Source organism: Homo sapiens, chromosome 5 (genome assembly GCF_000001405.40).
Source record: "Homo sapiens chromosome 5, GRCh38.p14 Primary Assembly".
In the NCBI taxonomy this organism is placed as follows: Eukaryota; Metazoa; Chordata; class Mammalia; order Primates; family Hominidae; genus Homo; species Homo sapiens.
In genome coordinates, this window is record NC_000005.10 from 103,235,390 (window position 1) to 103,257,673 (window position 22,284).

Below are 22,284 nucleotides of genomic sequence, written 5' to 3' on the forward strand. Positions count from 1 at the left end.
CAAGAAAGGACTGAAAATCACTGTACCCAAAAGATGGGAAGGCCAAAAGGGAGTGGGAGCCTAATGGAGAAATGAAGTGTTTCACAATTTTGAGTAAGGCAAGACTCAGAACTATTTCTTGTTACTATAGGGAACAAAAGACTGAAGAAGTGCCTTAGTCTGTAATTTAGTAATAGTGAATTTTATTTATTAAGATTTCTACATCGCTCACTGTGTGGCAGGCACTGTTCAGAGCACATTACAAATATTAATTCATGAAATCCTCAAAATAACCCTATAGGGTAGGTACTATTATTGTCACCCCCATTTCACAGATAAGAGAACTGAGGCATGAATACATTTACTAACTCACAGGCCAGGACGCCAGCCCAGGTCACCTGACTCCAGTGCCCACACTGTATGCTGCCTTTTCAAATCCATCAAGTGGAACACAAGACACTGCTGAGGGTGATCCCATACCATTGAGTAGTGCAAACTTCAACTGCAAATATAAAGAGAAAACTCCCCCTCTTCTGTGTCCTCTGAAATGGGAGACAATTCTTCACCTTAATCAAAAGTGACTGACATTAATGTTTATACCTGTAGCTTCTTGATATAACCTTTTATATACCCAAGATGAAACTAAAATCGATGTGGAGGATAGTGTTCTAGGTAAAACAACTTAAGTGATAAAACATGTTACCTCAGCAATGTTGCCTGAGGGGCAGACTTACATATTTCATGAAAAATGTTAGGCAGAAGGTCTTGATGTCATTTCTTGCACCATTTAATCAGATTTAGCTTCAGAAATAGGAATGGAAAAGGCTATATTTTTCTTTTTAAAAATATAACTCATATTTTGGTATAAAAGTAATTTGTGCACACTACAGATAATTTTCAAAAACATAAAATTATAACTAAGCAAGTAAAAAATATGTAAAATCCCACTAGCCAGAAACAACTACACTGATTATTTCCTTATAGTCCTTTTTTCCATGTTGAATATATGCGTGTGTGTTTAACATAACTGAGGTCATTTTGAATATATTTCACATCTTACACATTTTACTTAATGTTATATTATGAACATTTTCTTAAAATCCCGACGTCTCTAAAAATCTTTGTATAACTATAATGTTTGTTCTAATGTCTGCCATCTTGTTTTAAGTTTTTATTATGTTTCAGTGCCAGTTTTTACTCTTTCAATACAAAGAATAGGCTTCTTTTGCTTTTATCTTCTGCATTGATTTGTATGGTTTTCCGTTCTTGTTTGTACTTACTCTTGAACAAAGAGGTTTCTAATTATGGAAGTCAAGATTGAAACTGACTTTCGACTCAGTCTACCTTAACAGATGAGAATGTTTTTATTTCCTCATACTTGTCCTCCTCCACTCCTTAATCTCTGGTAATATCATTTGGGGTTTAAACTATTATTTAACTATGTATATCTGTATGAAGAATATGTAAACATATATTTTTAAAGATATATTTATTTGTAAGATTATAAAGATATAATGTATCTTTAAAGATAGATATAAAACTTTTATATAAAAAAGTCCTATAAATATATATAAAAATATATATTGAAAAATATAAATATACAATATATATTTATATATTTAAATATCAATATGTATTTTAATATATTTATTTTTCAATAAATTAAAAGAATATATAAATATATGTATAATATATTAAATATATAATATACATTAATATATGTATAATATATTAAATATATAATATACATTAATATATGTTTAATATGTAATACATATTATACATGTTAAATTATATATTTATATTATATATTTTAAAATAAATTAAATTATATATAATTTATTATGTATAATATATTTATTATATAATATCTACTATACATATTTTAAAGATATATTTAAAGCATATATGTATTATTTAAAGGTGAATTAACATTTGCAATAAATTTTGTGATTAATTTATACAGAAAGAATTTTAAACATATAATATATTGCAAAAATAAAAACAGTATAAAGAACAAACACTCCTTAACCTTTACCCAAATTCACCTACTCTTAACATTTTATCCTATTTGAGTGCTCTCTCTCTCTCTCTCTCTCACACACACACACACACACACACACACACACACACACACACACATACAAACACATAATGTTAAGAGCAGGCAAATATATACTTTTTTTCCCCGAGCTATTTGAAGACGATGAGAATCATCAGCAGGTGCTATATCCAGGAGGAAGTGTTGATGAGGAGTAGGATATCTGCATGATCTTAACGTGCTTCCCCATAAATTGCTTATTAATTGCAAGGCAGATTAATAAAAAGCAGTACTTCTAGAATGGGTACATTGGGCAACACTTTGACCTAATGATCAAAATTACCATCATCAGTGAAGGACAGATGTGTCTCCAGATGTGATACCTTGAGGAAGACAGAACATCACATAGTCAATCGTATTTCACTTCAATTTAACCATATGGAAACATCAAACAGAAAAATTGATAGGAAAAAAAAAGACAAAAAAATCAGTAAGCAGTAAGGACATAGAAGACTTGAAAAACACTATCATCAACCAACTTGACCTGACCAATGTTTATAGAACACTCCACCCAACAGGGACAGAGTCCACATTCTTTTTAATTTGCACAGGCAACATTTACTAAGATAGACTATATTATGGGCCATAAAACTAGTTTCAATGAATTTTAAATGATTCAAATTATATGAAGTATGTTCTCTGAACACAGTGGAATTAAGTTAGAAATTAATAACAAAAATATCTCTAGTCAATTTTTCAATATTTGCACATTAAAATAACACACTTTTAAAAACCCACAAGTTAAAAAGGAAATCAAAAGAAAAATTTGCAAGTATTTTGAGTGGAATAAATATGAAAATACAACATTTCAAAATCTGTAAGATGCAGCTAAAGCAGTGCTTAGAAGGCAAGGTCTGTGTTAGAAAAGAATAAAAGCCTCAAAACAGTAATCCCAACTTCCACTTTAAGTAACTAGGAAAAAGAAGAGCAAGTTAAACCTAAAATAAGCAGAGAAAAGAAAATAGCAATGATCAGAGCTGAAATCAATGAAATAGAAAACAGAAAAACAATTGAGAAAATCAATGAAACCAAAATCTGGTTATTTGAGAAGATCAACAAAATTGATACACTTTTATGTATACTAATTGGCATAAAAAGAATGAAAATACAAATTAAAAATATCAGAAAGGAGAAAGGTACATACTTAGATGTCCTATAGATATTCAAAGAATAATAAAGGATAATTATTATGAACAATTTAATGCCAATACATTTGACAACTTGGAAGAAATGAACAAATTCCTTGAGAGATACAAACTACCAAAGTTTGCCACTCATGAAGAAATAGATCACCTGCATAGTACTATATTTATTTTAAAAATTGAATTTTTAGCTTGAAATATTCCCATAAAAAATTTTCACTGGTAAATTTTATCTAAAATTTAAGAAAGAAAGAATACCAATACAAAGTCATCTGGAAATCCAAAGAGAAGGGTATACTTTTCAGCTCTTTCTGTGAGGCTAGAACCACTCTGATACAACACAAGAAAATCATCCTCTATGAACATAGATACAAAATCCTTTATGAACATAGATACAAAATTTTAAACAAAATTTTAGCAAATCAAAGCCAATAATACTTTAAAAAAAGACACTATATAATGAGCAAATGGAGTTTATCTCAGGATATAAGATTGGAATCACATTTGAAAATCAAACATTGTAAATTGCCATATTAATAGACTAAAGGAGAAAAATTATGATCATCTCAATAGATGCAGAAGAAGAATTAGACAAAATTCAACATCTCTTTATGATAAAACCTCTCAAAAACTGGGATTAGAAAAGAACCTCCTCAATCTAATAAAGAATGACAAACCCTACAGTTAACATTATATTTATTGGTGAAAGACAGTATTTTCCCCCTAAAATTAGGAACAAACCAAAGATGTTCACTAGCATCATTTCTATTCAGCATTTTACTAGAGATTCTAGCCAGTGCAATAAGGCAAGAAAAGGAAATTTTAAAAAAAATCTATGTCAGGAAGGACAAATAAAAATTATTTGCAGAAAAAATTATTTTTTAAGTAAAAAATTATAAGTACTCAACAAAATTCTTCTAGAATGCAAAGTGAGTTTGCTAAGGTGGCAGGACACCAGGTCAGTATTTTAAAAAGCAGTTGTATTTGTATAAATTATCAAGAAAAAATTAGAAATTGTCATTGAAATATACAACTCACAAGACAAAAAATATGAATTACTTAAGGGTAAATCTGACAGAAAATGCTCAAGACCTATACCATGAAAGCAATCAAATAGCACTAGGAGATATTAAAGAAGATCTAAATAAATGGGAGATATGCCATGCTCATGGTTTGGAAGACTCTATCATTAATATGTTAGTTATACCCAAAATGTTTTATAACTCTGACACAATCCCAATCAAAATAACAGGAGGCTATTTTATAGAAATAAGATGATTCTGAAATTTAAACTGGGTTTCATCGAGATTAAGAACTTTTGCTTTTCCAAAGAAACTATTAACTAAATGAAGACAATCTATGATCCAGGAGAAGGATTATACATCATATATTTGATACAGGGCTTATATCCAGAGTATATTTTTTAAAAACACTCAAATACAATTGAAAATAAGCAGAAGTTTGCAATGTATACTTTACTAAAGAGATGTATGGATTGCAAATAAACATATGAAAAGTGCATAACATCGTTAGTCATTAGGGGACTGTAAATTAAAGCCACAATATAATACCACTATCCTTGCTAGAGTTATTAAAATTAAAAATATTGATGATACTAAGTGCTGGCAAGGAAGTAAAAAAAACGAGAATCCTCATATACTGCTGGTGGGGATGTAAAATGGTACAACCACTTTGGAAAAGAGTTTGGCAGCTTTTTAAAAAATTAAACATATACCTGTTATTTGACACAGTCATTCTACTCCTAGGTAACACCCAAGATAAATAAAAGCATATACACACAAACACTTGGACAGGAGTGTTCGTAGCAGCCTTATTTGTAATGTCTGTAAGCAGGTGAATTGTGATATGGATATACCATGGAATTCTATTTAGTATTAAAATAGAAGAAACTATAACTACATGCAATAACATGAATTAGTCTCCATATAATTGTGAGTGTAAGAAGCCAGGTGAAAAAGAATGCATACTATATCATTTAATTTATATAACATTTTAGAATATAAAAACAAATCTAATGAGAGAAAGCAGATCACTGGTTGCCTGGATGGGTTGGGGGAAAGGCTGTTGGTGGTTCAGAGAATTATGGGGAGCTGTGAGAAAAAAAACACAGGAGGCAACTCTTGGGATTGAGAGATATCTTCATTATCTTGATTGTTGTGACAGCTTAAGGAGTGTGTACATATGTTCATACTTATCAAGTTGGACTTTTAAATAAGTACAGTTTATTATATTTTAGTTGTACCTCAGTAAATCAATAAACAATAATAGCTGACACAAAGTGTTCTTTTAAAATGTCAGGCACTGTTTTTAGTTCTTTATATAATATATATAAGACATATATAAACATATTTAGAACAATACTTAGGTACTCAATAAATATTAGTTGAAAATAAATCCAGTTTATATAAAATTTCTTTCAATGGCATATAGTAAACATTTTATCTCTGATTACATATAAAAATAATAGGTTCCCTTTGATACATGTTTGGACTAAACAAAAAAATACCTGGTCAAAAGGCTTTCTTACACGTGGAACCCAATGACAAAAACAGTAAGAACAGTAGCCACAATCATACCTCTCTCTCTCTCTGTCCCTCTCTCTCTCTCCCTCTATATATACTCAATATACATATGTGCAGGTGTCCTCAACCCCTGGATATGTGTATTCCTGTTAGAAACTGGGCTACACAGCAGGAGGTGAGCAGCCAGCAAGCAAGCACTACCACCTGAGCTGCCCCTCCTGTCAGATCAGCAGCAGCATTAGATTCTCATAGGAGCAAGAACCCTATAGTGAACTGCACATAATAGGGATCTAGGTTGCACACTCTTTATGAGAATCTAACTAATGCCTGATGGTCTGAGGTGGAACGGTTTCATCCCGAAACCATCCCCCCACCACACCTCATCTGTGGAAAAATTGTCTTCCACAAAACCAGTCCCTGGTGCCCAAAATGTTAAAAGACCACTGCATATATGTATATATACATTCATACAGTATTATTACAGGGATTTTATATCCATCTAAGTGGATTAGATTTATTTTGAAGAATCTATTCATGGTATCTAAAAGGTAGAGATTTCAAAGTTAATTTATTAACAAGGTACATGAAACAGTTATTGTTCAAGGAATATTTTTAAAAGATGAATCCATGCACAATCTTGTTTCTCAAATTATTTATATATTCATGTAAAAGCCTTTTAATGAAAATAACTTCCAATATTTAAAAAAGTTGGTTTTGATCCCATAGCCAGAAAGTTGCTGCTATTTATGAAAATCACCACTCTTTGTATAGTCTCTAGTTGAAAATGCTAAATAAAATAAATTCTATTTCCAAAATTATCTTGTCATTGAAGTTAGCATTATTTGTGTAACACTAATTAGAGACAACTAAAAATAAAGTTAGTCACTGATACAGTTTGGATATGGGTTGTTTGTCCCCACCAAAACTAATGTTGAAATTTGATTCCCAATATGGTGGTGCTGGGAGATGGAGCCTAATGGAAGGTGTTTGGGTCATGGAGGCAGATCCCCCATGAATGGCTTGGTGTCTATTTTCCTGGTAGTGAGTGAGTTCTCCATCTGACAAGACTGATTAGTTCTCACAGAAATGTTCCTGAGAGAGTGGTTTGTTATAAGCCAGGGCATCCCTCAAGTATTCTCTCTTTCTACATATTTGCTTCCTCTCCATCATGTTATGAGGCAGCACAAAAGTCCTCACCAGAAACCACAGCCATGTTCTTGAACTTCCCAGCCTACAGAACCATGAGCTAACTAAAATTATTTTCTTATAAACTATCAAGTCTCAGGCATTCTGTTACAGCAACATAAAATGGACTAAGACAAGTTTAATGATTTAATATCAGGAAATAAAAAATAATCCTATCTCTTATCTACTTTTTCATAATTTAAATATCATGCTGTTATTACTCACAAACTCTGGTTTATCAGAGGACTGAGCTCACTGCAGAGTTTATTTTTATTTTTATTTTTTTGGAGACGGAGTTTCACTCTCGTTGCCCAGGCTGGAGTGCAATGGTGAGACCTCGGCTCACTGCAACTCCGCCTCCAGTGTTCAAGCGATTCTCCTGCCTCAGCCTTCTGAGTAGCTGAGATTACAGGCATGCCCCACCATGCCTAGCTAATTTTTTGTATTTTTAGTAGAGATGGGATTTTACCATGTCACCCAGCCTGGTCTCGAACTCCTGACTTCAAGTGATCCACCCGCCTCAGCCTCCCAAAGTGCTGGGATTACAGTTAATTTTTTTAATAGTAAAGTTAAGATGTAAGCTTTAAAAAATGGAGAGGAAAGAAGTATGAAAAAGAGGAGGTAGAATAATGAAGGTTTCTACTATTTAAGTTTGAAAGATTACACTAAATATGCATACTAAATATGTAATTTCCAAAATCACCATTTAGCCTTGAGCTTATATTTAATTAGTTCATCAAACATTCAATATTTACTAAACTTGTATACTTAAGGAACTTTGAGAGGCACTATCATGGTTGATTCTTAAATCTCCAAGAAAAACAATATATGTTTTAAAAACAGCATAAGACTGGAAATTGAACCTTGTGAAACACATTTAGGAGGGATATGGAAGATGTAAGTGTGTTTATCATGATAATTATATTGCAAAGTAACCTGGCTCAGACAGCAAGCAGTTCATGTAGATGATGGTAAGTAGTATATTACAGCCAGCCACAATTTTTGTTCTCTTCTCATTTTTTGGTACTCCTATTAAAATTCAGTTAAGAAAGAATTATCATTTTCATCATCATCATCATCATCATCACCACCACCCCGGAACTGGTGTTAGTATTTCCCTCTGTCTCTCACACACCGCACACACACACACACACACACACACAAATACACAAAACAGCAAAGTTTTGGATCGGATTGCCTAAGTATCAGAATTTTCTTTCTATCAACTTTCTTATACCATGTCTTAAAATGTAAGTACCCAGATTTTTGGTTTTTGTCAAATCACTTGCCAAATGTGCTCGCTTTCCTTCTTTCCCTCCTCCTTTCCTTCTCTCAACAGTTATTGAGCACTTTACTATGTACTAGCACAGAATAATATTGTGGATGAAAGAAAGGAAAAAAAAGCTATGGTCCCAGACCTATGCTTTTCACAAGACCTGGAGGATTGCTGAGCAGTGATTCAATGCTTATCAGGCCTGTGCTGAATATCTTGAGGGTTAGGAGATTTCAGGGAGCAAAGAATCTGACCACAAAGCTATTGGCTGTATCTGACCAGGTTGTGGGAAGAAAGAAAATTGCCAGTCCAGGATTTGCAGCAACGGAAAGGCAAGAACAAAAACTGTGACTAAAGAGATATGATAAAGCTACGCTAGGTTAAAGGAAGAAAAGATGTTTACACTCCAGGAATGTAGCACTATCTCTTGTCTCTTTGTCTCTCTGCCTGTTTCTCTATGTCTGTCTTTCTGTTTTGTTCTGTCTCTCTCTGTCTCTGTCTCTCTCTCTCTCTCTCGCCCAGCCCCCCCAACACACACACACACACACACACACACACACACACACACACATGCGCAAATACACACCAGGTTTGAGTTAAGGACCAACCTAAAGCACACACAGTGTGATTTCAAGAACCAACTCTTTCTGTCTATGATGATTTACCACTGAGAAACAAAGGTTTTCATTTTGCAAAGGTTTTCCTGGTGATGACAAAAGGGTTGAAAAATATGTAGAGTGTCTCTAAAGACAGTTTTTTACTTACTGTTACTGAAGAACACATGAACCAAAAAGCAGTTTTATAACTTGTGGATGTTGTGGATGTTAAGTATTAAAGATGGGCTTACATTTCAAGAGTAATCAGTAAGGTGATAGTACAAAAATCACAATGCCTTGTAAGGAAGTCACAGTTGTCCTACTGTTTGCTAATGGTAGTTAACATGATAACTTGTATAATAGATTAAACTTGCTAAATTGTGATAGGTGGAGGTATCACTTCCTTAAAAGGCTAGAAGCTGTCAGATGTTAAAAGAGGTTAATACAGAGTCTCTCTCTGTAAGACAGTAAGGAGTCTTTTTTGAGTAAATATTTAGATGTTCAAAGAACAGAAAGGGTAACTTGGAGGAGAGAAAACCTGGGCTTGGGAACAGTTTAGGACTCTTGTCTTCAGCATTTCCCAGGAAAAAGGACTCCAGTGGGCCAACAAAGAGACCCTGATAATTTGCTCAAACCCAACGTGGTATGTGTAGTTCTTACACAAATTCCGAATAAGCAGCCTTCTAATATCACATTAGTTTCTCTGCCAGAAGCGATATTTCCCAAGAGAAGTAATTAAATGGATTTTCTACTCCAAATTTGTCCTGTGTGAACTTGGGTAGTAAATTTTTCCAGGGAATGCGTGGATGAATCCTTTTATTTAGACAATCACAAACAGTAGCCTAGGATGAGAGAGAAAAGAAACTGCAAGGTGATTTTGAACACTAGTTCATCTTTCCTAATTGCATACCTCTTAACACTTCCAAGCCTTTGTCTCGTGTAACAGAAGAAGGTAATACGACTATCTTATTCATAAATAACTGTAGCGAGATTGAGATTAGTGAACATCAGGATCCGTACCATTATGTCCCTGTGAGTCTTCTAGTCATGAATTCTGTTGAAAGCTTAGGTAGGATGATCGCTTAAATATAAAAGTCTCTCAGAACTGGAAGAAGTCTGAGATATGATAATCACCTTGTAGCGTACATTATGTGTACTGTTATTAAATGTGTATGTGAAAGTTCTGGGTTTGTCCTTTCAACTAAATTATAGTTTGAACTTTAGTGCATGTAAATTATGCATTGACAAAGGCAGAATACTTTGAGACGTGAATGTTCAAGTTATTATATGTTATTGTGGGGAGTTTTAAATAGCAACTGGAAACTTATGGTAAAATATTTATTTTGAATAATTCTTCTTTACCAACATTATTTCAGAAACACATCTAACATGTGGCTGTTGAAGCAATATGGAAATATGAAATATTAAGGAAATGTCACTTATATGTTCATAAGTTTGGTTTTATGTACACTCACTTGATGTCTTGAGGAACTGGGGCTCTGTTGGTGCCATCCTCAATTAAAGTGGGAGCACTATAGATACAGCATTTTGCCAGTGTTGATCTACTGATTTAATAGGCATTCACTTGTTAAAATGAATTCACATTTATTTGTTGTCTTATTTCGTTAGGTGGCTATACGGCTGATAGTTCTCTGACTTTGAAAGTTTACTTGCAATTAATGAAAGCACCCAAGAAAAGAAGGGGAGAGGTGAATGTGGGAACTGTGGTTGCTTTCATTAAAGGTGGTTTTCCTGTAGTAAGTTGAGATGCTTTGTGTCTACTGAGTATAATCCGTGTGGCAACCTCCTCCAACTTCATAGGCTCTACTCTCTCTACAATATTTGTGAAGGAGAAGGTTTATTTCACATTCATTTCTGAGGCCTCAGTTTGGCAACCAATTTTCCACATGGCATCCCCTCCACTGCCCCCAGTTCCGGTATGGGCTTCTACCTTCTGGAACTCCATCTGTTCTCCATACTAGGGTGCTGGGCTGGACTTCACGTTGCTGATGTAGAAATTCTATACATCTTTTATTACTATGTGCCGTAATTCCCTCAGAGCACCAGCAGTCATCACTGCTGTGTGGGTGGAAGTTTTCCCTGAAGAATTTGGAGTTATTAAAGAAAATTCACTACAACAGAGAGGGGAAAACCCTTTTAAATTGTACCCTAAATATGTTTGTTTCTCTAGTCTAAATTCATGTTAAGGAACATAAACTATTTCTTAACTGCAGTATAATATGGAAAGATGGGACACACTTTACATTGCTGTATAGAGCCATGTCTGTTCTCCCTAGCTTACCTCACAGGTGCCCTTGTTTTCTGACGTATGTGTCCATAAAGCCTTCCCACTATTAGTTGTCTTGGTGGGTCTCTGTTTTTTAGAACTAAGCCTTTTGCTTTCTATAATTTTAGCTCTCCTTAAGCCTCTCCCACATTTCAGGTATATAAGTTATATTAATACTGAAAGCAATCTGGAAAAATGAATATTAGTTTTCTAGATAAGGAAACAGTGTTAGATAGGTCAGATAATTTGAACAATGTCACATGTCTAGAAATCCTAGATTGTATGCTTTCAAAGTCCATGCTATCATCTGAGATTTGTATCACATTGTATCTTGTAAAGTAATTGAGTGACATGATAAGATGTCAAGGCTGCTTCAACTGACCCATAAATGTGCAAATATTTTACAGCAATAGGAACAAAGCTTTTTTTTTCTGTTAACTTCCTTTTTTCAGGAAAAGAATGAGTATAGAGATGAGTATAGAGATCTTTTGAAATCATAATTTCAAAAGATAAAGGTTTTGGCTAAGTGCTTGGGAAGAGTAACAAGTTGCAATACTGTAGTAGCTTCATTATTAGAAAGCTAAAAAACTTCATATAATTTCTGACTAGAAAGTTAACAGATTAATCAAGACTGTTAGCAATTGGAAAGTCTCAAGCTTTGGTTGAGAATGTTTCATTGACATTTAAAATTTTAATTTTTTAAAATGGGCATTTATTTTACATAATCAAAATTCAAAACATACAAAAGAATGTATAATGAAAAGTTTACCTCCCAACCCTGTCCCCAGGCCATCAGCTGTTTCTCCCTAAAGATAACTAATATTTTCCACTTCTCATTGTGGTTTTGATTTGCATTTCTCTAATGATGAGTGATGTTGAGCATTTTTTCATGTGCTTGTTGGCCATGCGTATGTCTTCTTTTGCAAAGTGTCTGTTCATGTCCTTTGCCCACTTTTTAATGGGGTTGTTTTTTGCTTGTTAATTTATTAGGTCTCCTTTTAGATTCTGGATATTATGTATTTGTTGGATGCATAGTTTGCAAATATTTTCTCCTGTTCTGTAGGTTGCCTGTTTACTCTGTTGATAGTTTCTTTGGCTGTGCAGAAGCTCTTTAGTTTAGGTAGGTCCCATTGGTCAATTTTTGTTTTTGTTGCAAATTGCTTTTGGAGTCTTCATCATGAAATCTTTACCAAGGCCTATGTCCAGAATGGTATTTCCTAGGTTTTCTTCTAGGGTTTTTGTAATTTTAGGTTTTATGTTTAAGTAGTTAATCCATTTTGCATGGATTTTTGTATATGGTGAAAGGAAGGAGTCCAGTTTCAATCTTCTGCATATGGCTAGCCAATGATCCCAGCACTATTTACTGAATAAGGAGTCCTTCCACCATTGCTTCTTATTGTTGATTTTGTTGATGATTAGGTGATTGTAGGTGTGTGGCTTTATTTCTGGGATCTCTAACCTGTTTCCATTGGTCTATGTATTTGTTTTTGTACCACTATCATGCTGTTTTGGTTACTGTAGCCTTATAGTATAGTTTGAAGTTGGGTTGTGTGATGCCTCTGGCTTTGTTCTTTTTGCCTAGGATTGCTTTGGTGATTTGGGCTCATTTTGATTCCACATATATTTTAGAATAGTCTTCTCTAATTCTGTGAAAAATAACATCGGTAGTTTCATAGGAACAGCATTGAATTTGTAAATTGCTTTGGACAGTATGGCCATTTTAAGAATATTGATTCTTCTATACCATCTCATACCAGTCAGAATGGCTATTGTTAAAAAGTTGAAAAATAACAGATGCTGGCAAGGTTGGGAAGAAAAGAGAATGCTTACACACTGCTGGTGGGAATGTAAATTATTTTAGCCACTGCAGAAACAGTTTGGAGATTTTTCAAAGAACTTAGAACTACCATTTGGCCCAGCAATCCCATTACTGGGTATACATCCAAAGGAATATAAATCATTCTGCCATAAAGTCACAATCGTATGTATGTTCATCATAGCACTTTTTGCAATAGCAAAGACATGGAATCAGCCTAGATGCCCATTAATGGTAGACTGCATAAAGAATACACAGTACATATACACCACGGAATACTACACAGCCATTAAAAGAATGAAATCATGTCCTTTGTAGCAACATGGATGCAGCTGGAGGCCATCATCCTAAATAAATTAATACAGGAATGGAAAATCAAATACCTTGTGTTTTCACTTAGAAGTGAGTAAACATTGAGTACACATGGACACGAAGAGTGGGACAATAGATCCGGGGGCTATTTGAAGGTGGAGGGTTGGAGAAAGGTGAGGATTGAAAACCTACCTATTAGGTATTATGCTCACTACCTGGGTGACAGAATCATTTGTACACCAAACCCCAGCGACACGCAATTTACCCATATAACAAATCTGCACATGTACCCTCTGAATCTAAAACAAAAGATGGAAGAAAAATATTTTTTAAAAGTCAATGGCCATCTGTGCCTATTTCCTGTTGTACCACATCACCTCCTTCTTAGATTTTGTGGAGACATGGTAAACCCCCAAATCCTTTCCAACAGCCTCTGTCACTTCCAGCTCGATTAAAAAAAAACAAAAAATTATATTGTCCATTTTTTGGTTATGCTTCTAGAGATATGTTCTAAATACGCATATGTGTTGCTTTTATCTTTCTTCAGTTTTAAAAAACATTTTATTTTGAGATAACTGTATATTCACATACAGTTACAGGAAATAATAGGATTCTATATACCCTTTACCCAGCTTCCCCCAAAGGTAACTTATAGTATAGGACTATATGATACTGTGTTAATATTATGGTACAATATCAAAATCATAGTACAACATCACAACCAGGATATTAACATTGATACAGCCAAGACACAGAATATTTATGGAATCACAAGAATCCCACATGTTGCCCTATTATAGCCACATCCACTTCCTTTCCACCCCTACTCCCTTCTTAAACCCTGGCAAACACTAATCTGTTCTGCATTTCTATAATTTTGTCATTTCAGTGATGCTATAATGTTATAATGGAATAATGTTATAATGAAATCATACAGTTTTTAGCCTTGCAAGATTGGGGTTTTTTCTTTCACTGTAATTCACTGGAGATTCATCCAGGTTGTTACATGTATAGTTTGTTTTCTTAAATTGCTGAGCAGTATTCCATGGTGTGTATGCACCATAGTTTAGTCATTCACTTGTTGAAAGACATCTGTTTTTTTCCCAATTTTTGTATATTATGAATAAGGCTAAATGTTCTAAGCATTTGTGTACAGGTTGTTGGGTGAATTTAAGTTTTTCTTTCCCTAGGAAAAATGATCAAGGGTGTGATTGCTAGGTTGTATGTGGTTGCATATTAATTTTTTTCCAGATTGCTTGTCTAAAGTATCTTCCAGAGTGGCTGAACAATTTTATATTCTTACTAGCAATGTATGAGTGATTCAGTTTCTCCACATCCTCATCAGCATTTGTTGTTGTCATTATTTTTATTATTTTAGCCATTATGATAGTTGTATAGTGGTATCTCATTGTGGTTTTACTTTGCATTTCCTTAATGGCTGATGATCTTGAAAATCTTTTCATATGCTTATTTGCCATTGATCTATCTTCTTTGATGAAATCTCCTTGTATCTTTGCCTCATTTTCAAGTTGTATTATTTGCTTTTTTAACTTGAATTTGAAGCCATTAATTATAAATTCTAGATACTACTACTTTGTTTAATATGTGTTCTGCAAATGTTTTCTCTCAGTCAGATTGTCTTTTTTTTTTTTTTTTAAGAGACCAGATCTCACTCTGTTTCCCAGCTGGAATGCAGTGGCAAAATTATAACTCGCTTCAGCTTTGAACTCCTGGAGTCAAACAGTCCTCCCACCTCAGCCTCATCAGTAGCTAGGACTACAGGCATATCCCACCATGTCCGGTTAATTTTTCTTTCTTTTTTTTTTTTGTAGAAATGGAGTCTTGCAATGTTGCCCAGGCTGGTATTGAACTCCTGGTCTCATGTGAACCTCCTGCCTCAGCCTCCCAAAGCACTTGGATTAAAGGCGTGAGATACTATGCCTTGCCCTTAGCTTAGCTTGTCTTTTTATTCTCTTAACAGGGTCTTTAGTAAAGCAAATGATTTTTATTTTTTATGAAGTCCAATTTATCAATTTTTCCTTTTATGAATCATGCTTTTTGTGTTATGTTTAAGAACGGTTTGTCTAGCCCTAGATCCCAAGGTTTTCTATTTTTTCCCTAAAATTTTATAGTTTTATATTTTAAATTTAAGTTCTTGGTTCATTTTGAGTTAATTTTTGTTATAAGGTGTAAGACTTGGGTTAAGGTTCAATTTTTTTTTTTGCCTATAGATTTCTAGTTCTTCTAGCACTATTTGTTGCAAAGTCTATCTTTCCTCCATTGAATTGCTTTTGCACCTGTGTCAAAAAGCAATTTTTCATATTTGCATGAGTCTGTGTTCTCTATTTTCTTTCCTTTATCTATATGTCTATTCCTCTATTAACACCTAGTTATGATAGGTATGTAAGTCTTGAAATAGGGTAGACTGACTCCTCTCACTTTATTTTCCTTTGCCAAGATTATTTTAGCCATTATAGGAATTGTGCCTTTCTATATAAATTATGGAACTGATGTTTTTACTAAATGAGTCTCCAATCCATGAACATGACATATCTCCCAATTTATTTAGATTTAGATCTTCTTTTATTTCTTTAATCCAGGTTTTGTAGTTTTCAGCACACAAATCTTGTACATCTTTGATTAGATTTACACCTGAGTATTTATTTATTTATTTTGAGACAAAGTCTCACTCTGTTGCCCAGCCTACAGTGCAGTGGTGTGATCATAGCTCATTGCAGCCTTCATTTCTCTGGCTCAAGGAATCTTCCTGCCTCAGCATCCTAAGTAGCTGGGACTATAGGTGCACACCACCATGCTCAGCTAATTTTTTTGATTTTTAGTTGTTCTCGAACTCTTGAGCTCAGGCAATCCTCCCACCATGGCCTCCCAAAGTGTTGCGATTACAGGCATGAGCAACAGTGTCCAGCCTATTTATCTTTTTTTGAGTGATTATAAATGATAATCATTTTTATCATAATTAGATTGTTGTATGTTTACCTTGTCTCTTGTAACTTTGCAGAACTCACTTTAGTTTTAGGTATTTTTATGTTTTTTTATTTTTATTTACTTTTTTTTTTAGATTCCTTGGGATTTTCATATAGACTATCGTATCATCTGCAAGCAGTGGCAGTTTTATTCTTCCATTCCAATCTGTATGCCTTGTATTTCATTTTCTTGCTTTATTGTTCACTGTACTGGCTAGAACTTCCAACACTATGCTGAATAAGAGTGGTGAGAACAAACAACTTCGTTTTTTTCTGGAATCTTAGGGGGAAAACACTCTTTCACCATTAAATATAATGTCTGCTGAGGATTTTTGTTGATACTCTTTATGAAATTGAGGAACTTCCTCTTCATTCTCATTTTTCTATGAGTTTTTAAAAAATCATGAATGGGTGTTGAATTTTGTTAAATGCTTTTCTGTAAATTATAAGATCATGTAGTTTTTCTTCTTTAGTCTGCAACTATGGTGGGTAACAATGAATGACTTTTGAATATTGACCCACCCTTGGATTCCTGAAATAAACTTCACCTGGTCATAATGTATATTTCTTTTTTATTTATTGCTGAATTCTGTTTGCTGATATTTTGTGAGGCGTTTTGCCTCTACACTCACAAGAAATAATGTTCTTTAGATTTTTCTCTTTTTGTGGTTTTGGTATCAGAATAAGACTAGCTTAATAAAATGACCTGGGAAGTGTTCATGCATCTTGTATTTTCTGGAAGAGATTGTGCAGAATTGGTGTTAATTCTTTTTTAAATGTATGGTAGAATTCTTCAATGAAACCATCTAGGCCCAGAAATTGCTTTTCTGGAAGTTTTAAAATTATAAACTCAATTTTCTCAACTCTTGGTTGTACTTTGCAGGAGGAATAGGGAAAAGTATATCTACTCCTTTCCAGGAGAAGTCTCCCCATTTAATTTCGACATATTGAACTCTTTTCATCACATTTTTTGTACAATTATAGCATGCAAAACGCTTTGCTCTACATCATACTTTTATTTACTATTATATTTTAGAGATCACTTTGTATCAGTTTATAAAAAGCCTCTTCATTTTAAAATATTTGCATGATATTTTATTAAGTAGTTGTATCATTATTTCTTTAATCAGTTTCCAATTAACGAATTTTAAGTTGTTTCTCTTATAATAATGTAATGAATAACCTTGCATGTGTTATTTTGTTGCAGTGATTTCAATAAAAATTTACAGAATATTACACACAGCTATATGCAGTATAGCAAGTTAGCAATACAGGGGGCTTTTTTGAGAGCCACTGAAATTACCATATTCTGTTTCTATTTTATGGCAATAAAATGGAAGTTACAGGACTCCTACAGATAGAGCCTGGTCTCTATTCCCATCTCATGCTATGACAAGGAATATCCTGATGTTAACTGTTCTAGGCTTCTGCCTGAAGGAAAAATTCTTCGATTCTCTAAATGGTTCTAGAATCCTGAATTGGTTCGGCTCATGGACAAGGGTTGGTGCCCAGTCTTTACTGCCTGCCCAGCTTTTGTAGACCTGAGTTGGCTAATGTCTGTATAGGATGGTGTGTGTGTGTGTGTGTGTGTGTGTGTGTGTGTGTGTTTATGAATTGCAGAAGGTAAGTTTGAGGGTGAGGGGTACTGACTTGTTTTTTTTAGCTTTTCCCAAGAAAGAAATCATAGGCCAAGGCTGATATACAAATGTAATTTTCTTACCTCATTGGAAACACTGTCTGCTGAAGAAATCTCTCTTGGTTCTTTCATAGAAACATCAAAAAAAGCGAGAATCAAGATCTCTAGCCATGTCCTTGCTGATATTTAGCAGCTTTCTGGGAAGAAGCCAGAGGTCTTGGTATACCTTGATTAAGTTTGTGCATCAATTGTTTGACATCTTAGACTTCAATTTCCCATAGAATTGTCTTCAGAGAATCATGAAATATTGTGACATCACATTGTAATTGCATAATTACTTGTCTGCCTATTCACTTAGTCTTAAAGTCCTTGAGTACAGGATTGTATCTTCTCTTGTCTATGGGTTCCCAGACTCTAACACAGGTGTGGCACATAGTATGTCTTAAAAAATAAGAATTGGAAGGGACCTTGAAGACTATTGTTAGGGGGAGGACTTCTTCCTCACTCCTAATGTTTCATTCTTAATGGAGAAAGTATCACTGGTAATTACATACCTGATCTACCTCCTTTCCACTATATCCTTCCCAAGGCAGGAGGAGAGTATCTCATTGGAGAATTAAACTGGGCATGCTCAACCTAGCTGTTTTCATTACCTTCTTGGCAATAAAGTGCCTGCGTGGGAGTAGGTGTTCTCTGTTCCTTAAAACCTAAGTCTTACCTTGGCAGGCTTTGATGTGAGGAGGCCTGCCTGGCCCGGTTTTGCCTCTTATTGGGTAGGTATATCAGTCTAATTATGGGATTTAAAAAATAGAACCACTGTAATTGTACATTAAACTATGTCCTCCAATGTTACAGAAACAATTGGCGCCACCTTTATGCCTTTTATTTCTCAATTTGTTTGGAATGGGGCAGGAAAGGGGGTGCTACTTGGGCCCTCTTGAAAACCATTTCTCTCACCTCTTAATTTATGAATGAAGGGGCTGAGGCCAACAGAAGTAAAGTTTAATTTGCCCAGATTCAAGTGGTAGTTTATGAGTACCTGTTCTGTGCCAGTCTAGATATTGTAAAGGATACACGTATAAACACAACTCAAGTTTCTTAAGAAGCTTATAATTTAGTGACCAACCGGAGGTCCCACAGCAAGCTGGAACTGAGAAGTGATTTCTCTGTTGTTTATAATGCTGTTATATTTTTGTTTCCTCTATTTTCTATCTTCTTTTTTTATTGATATAATTGAGTTAAATAGGCTTTTCTATGCAAATTATGGAATTTAATTACATTTTCTTTCTATGAAAGAATATTTCTAAAAGCACAGATTTTAATTCTCTGAACTGCTGTCCTCCTCCGCACACAGGAGGGGCCCTTTGAAGATTATCAAATGGTATGCTGGTAAACTGGCTTTCTGGGGGGTGGGGAGATTAGAGAGAAATGGGAAGCCCTGTTTATAGAATTTGCCAATTTCTATGGTGTAAATACTCCTACCATAGCTGATTTCAAGCTACTGATGATTTAACAACCAGTTTGCAAAGTTCCTGAAAATTTAGCAATCAGTACTTCTGAGCCAGATACAAGATACAAGCTGGCTTCAGCAGACCTTACTACAGGTTCTTCTCCCACTCCTCGCAGTAAAAATAGGCTAAATATTTACTGAGCACCTGTTATATGTCAGTCTCTGGGCTTTCTTTGGGGGTTAGACATAGTCTGAGACCTCAGGGAATGTATAGTTTAGAGGGGGAGATAGTATATTTCAGCACTGTGTGGTATTAGGCCAGGGAAATGAGAAATATCAGTAGGAATCAGAAAACTCTTCTTAGAGGTGGTGACATCTACATGAAATCTGAGGAATGGCAAAGAATTAGACTGAGAGGGAGGGGTGGAGAAGAATGCTCCACAGGAAACAATTATGTACAGGCTTAAATAATGAATAAGCAGAATGTGAGTGTGGAGTTAGAAGTGGTCTAGCAAGAGCTGAAGGGCAGCCTGAATTTCCCTCCTGAGCGCCCACTCCACATATCTGGCCTTCTGCTTGACACCTCCATGAGGATGTGCCACAGAGTCACCAAATTCAACATATTCCAAAGTAAGCTCCTTCCACCTTTCTCCTCCTCAGCTTGGTCCACAATACTAACCGTCTCTTACTTCTATGGCTGGATAATATTTTGAGATACTAATTTATGATTTTTTTTCCAACTTGTATTTACCCCCTTGTTGCCTTCGGGAGAGATGTGGCAGGGTAGAGAGGAGTTGCCTGCAGATCATTTTTTCATTCTGGCTCTTACTGAAAACAACCTGAGCCCCCAGAGACAGAATAGAGTTTGCTGGCAATGGCAGAGTGTCTGGGAAAAAAAAAATGAAGAGGAAGGATTTTCCTTAAGAAGTGATTCCCTTGTATCTGGAAAGAAGAGGATAGAAGTCAGTATGTCCCAAGGCAGTGGGATTTGAGCCCTGAACTTGGACCACCATAATACCCTAAACATAAATGACCGAGGATGTGTGAGGCTTAGCAGGATGGTCCCAGATCTAGGAAATTCCTCTGGCCTCAGGTGTGGTGCCGGAGCCAAAGGGAGGGAACCAGTGTATAGGGCAGGGCCGTCTCGTCTATAGGCAGGTTGTGCACTGTATCATGGAACCATAGGTGGCAGCTCCAGGAAGGAACAAAGGAAACCTCTGTGGACAGATGACTGCAATCCGAAGGACCTCCCCTCCACTCCCTGCCATCATCACCCATTCATGGTCTGGTCTGGCATATGCTCTTGGAACTTTGACCCTGCTCGAGGGAATGAGGGAAGAACTTTACAAAAGAGTAAGGCCTTTAAAGAGAAATAAAATCAAGTGCAGATTCACGTTCTATGTTCTTCTCCTAGTCTCCTCAGTGTCTCAAAGGGCTGATCCCCGTAGGCTGTTTCCCTGGCTCCCATGGCAGGTGTATCAGACTTGGCCAATGCAAGGCACTGGAAGGAGATTGGAGGGCAGGAGAGGAGAACGTATAGTACATTTCCCCCTTCTCCCTCCCTAGATTGCTTCTTTGGCAGTGGTTGTTTCTCCTCTATGGCCGCAGCTCTCACCAGGCTGGCCATGCTGCCTGGGCCCTGGACTCCAATAACCCTGCCTCTTCTCTTATTTCTCCAGCTAGAGGTCGCAGTTGCTAGTTTCTGGATTACTGTGCCATCTCCTGATTAGCTTCTGACTTTTCCTATCACCTACGTTACCAATTTCTTGCATTCAATTACTTCTGTAGATACTCAAAATGGTTTCTGTTTTCCTGGTTAGACCCTGCTTGAAACAAATGAGTTTATAGAAAAGAAGGTAATGTGGTATTTCTTGCACACCTGTCTTTGTAGATTCTGTTTTACATCATTATGTTGTTATCAAATTCACCTATTCTGTTCTCTCAAGCTGGTTGTTTGCTAGCCGACATCATTTACATCAACGTAGTATAATATTTCCCAGGCAGCTGACATTTTAAAGTCATTTTAAAGGGATTTTCTGGAAAGGATGCCTTGAGGCAAAGACATAACTTACACAAGGAGTGTGTGAGATGGAGCTTCTGAGTCCCCAAATTCAGAAGGCCTTTCAGGGCTCTGGGTCTATTCTACATTTGGGCCTAACCCTTTATATGAATGCCATTTTTCTTTATAGGTTGAAGAGATCTTCCTAAAACACTAAAAAGCTCTGGGAAGGGATTCTGCATTAACTTGCACCTCTTATATGCCCCTCAGCCACGGCACTTGCAACCCACATCCAATCCGAGTGAAGACAATACCCAGTCAGTATCTCTAGGTGGCATAAACATATCCTTGATGGAGCCACACATAAAGCTATTATCAACCATTACTGCATGGTGAATTGGTTTATTAGGTGTTCTTTGTGACACTCAAGAACTGACTTAGGTTCTGATTGGGTGAAGATTCAGGGTTAGGATGGGAGCATAGAACACCACCCAGGGAGGGAGGCAATTTGGAGACAATGCCCTCAAGAGAGCTAGCCTTGAGCCTAATAAACTAAGAGGGGAACTTTATTGCTTTTGGCCAAAGCACACTGCCAAACTCTCAGCGCAAAGGGCAAGTACAAGACATTCTTCTGAAAAAGTTATAAGATTTCAGACAGGAAGAAATGAAATTAAGTCTCTTAATATAAAATATACAATGTTTTGGAGGTGGTTTTATGAGAATGATCATCAGGACAATACACTATTGTGTCAAACAGATTATAATCGGAAATAATTCTCGGTGTATTCTCCTAATGTACTGATGCAAAAAAAGTTTCTTCATTTATTTATTCATATTATGTTGTGCTAGCTTCTATATTTTTGAAATTACATGCAAATCTATGTCGGGAAAAAAAGTAACTGATGTTTTGTAAAATTGTTTAGGGAACATTCCTTAAAACTTATTCTTCCCTCTACCTTCCTTTACTTATTTTAGGGCACA

The 22,284-nt window shown here is 35.4% G+C and overlaps 1 long non-coding RNA gene across 1 annotated transcript; it reads right to left on the minus strand.

Annotated features, from left to right (window-relative positions):
* Positions 1-10,407: 10,407 nt before the first annotated feature.
* On the minus strand, positions 10,408-18,212 carry LOC124901037 (uncharacterized). The gene is made up of 2 exons (XR_007058894.1): positions 17,939-18,212; positions 10,408-10,951 (listed from the first exon to the last, which is right to left on the minus strand). It is a non-coding gene; the product is annotated as an uncharacterized LOC124901037 (long non-coding RNA).
* Positions 18,213-22,284: the final 4,072 nt, after the last annotated feature.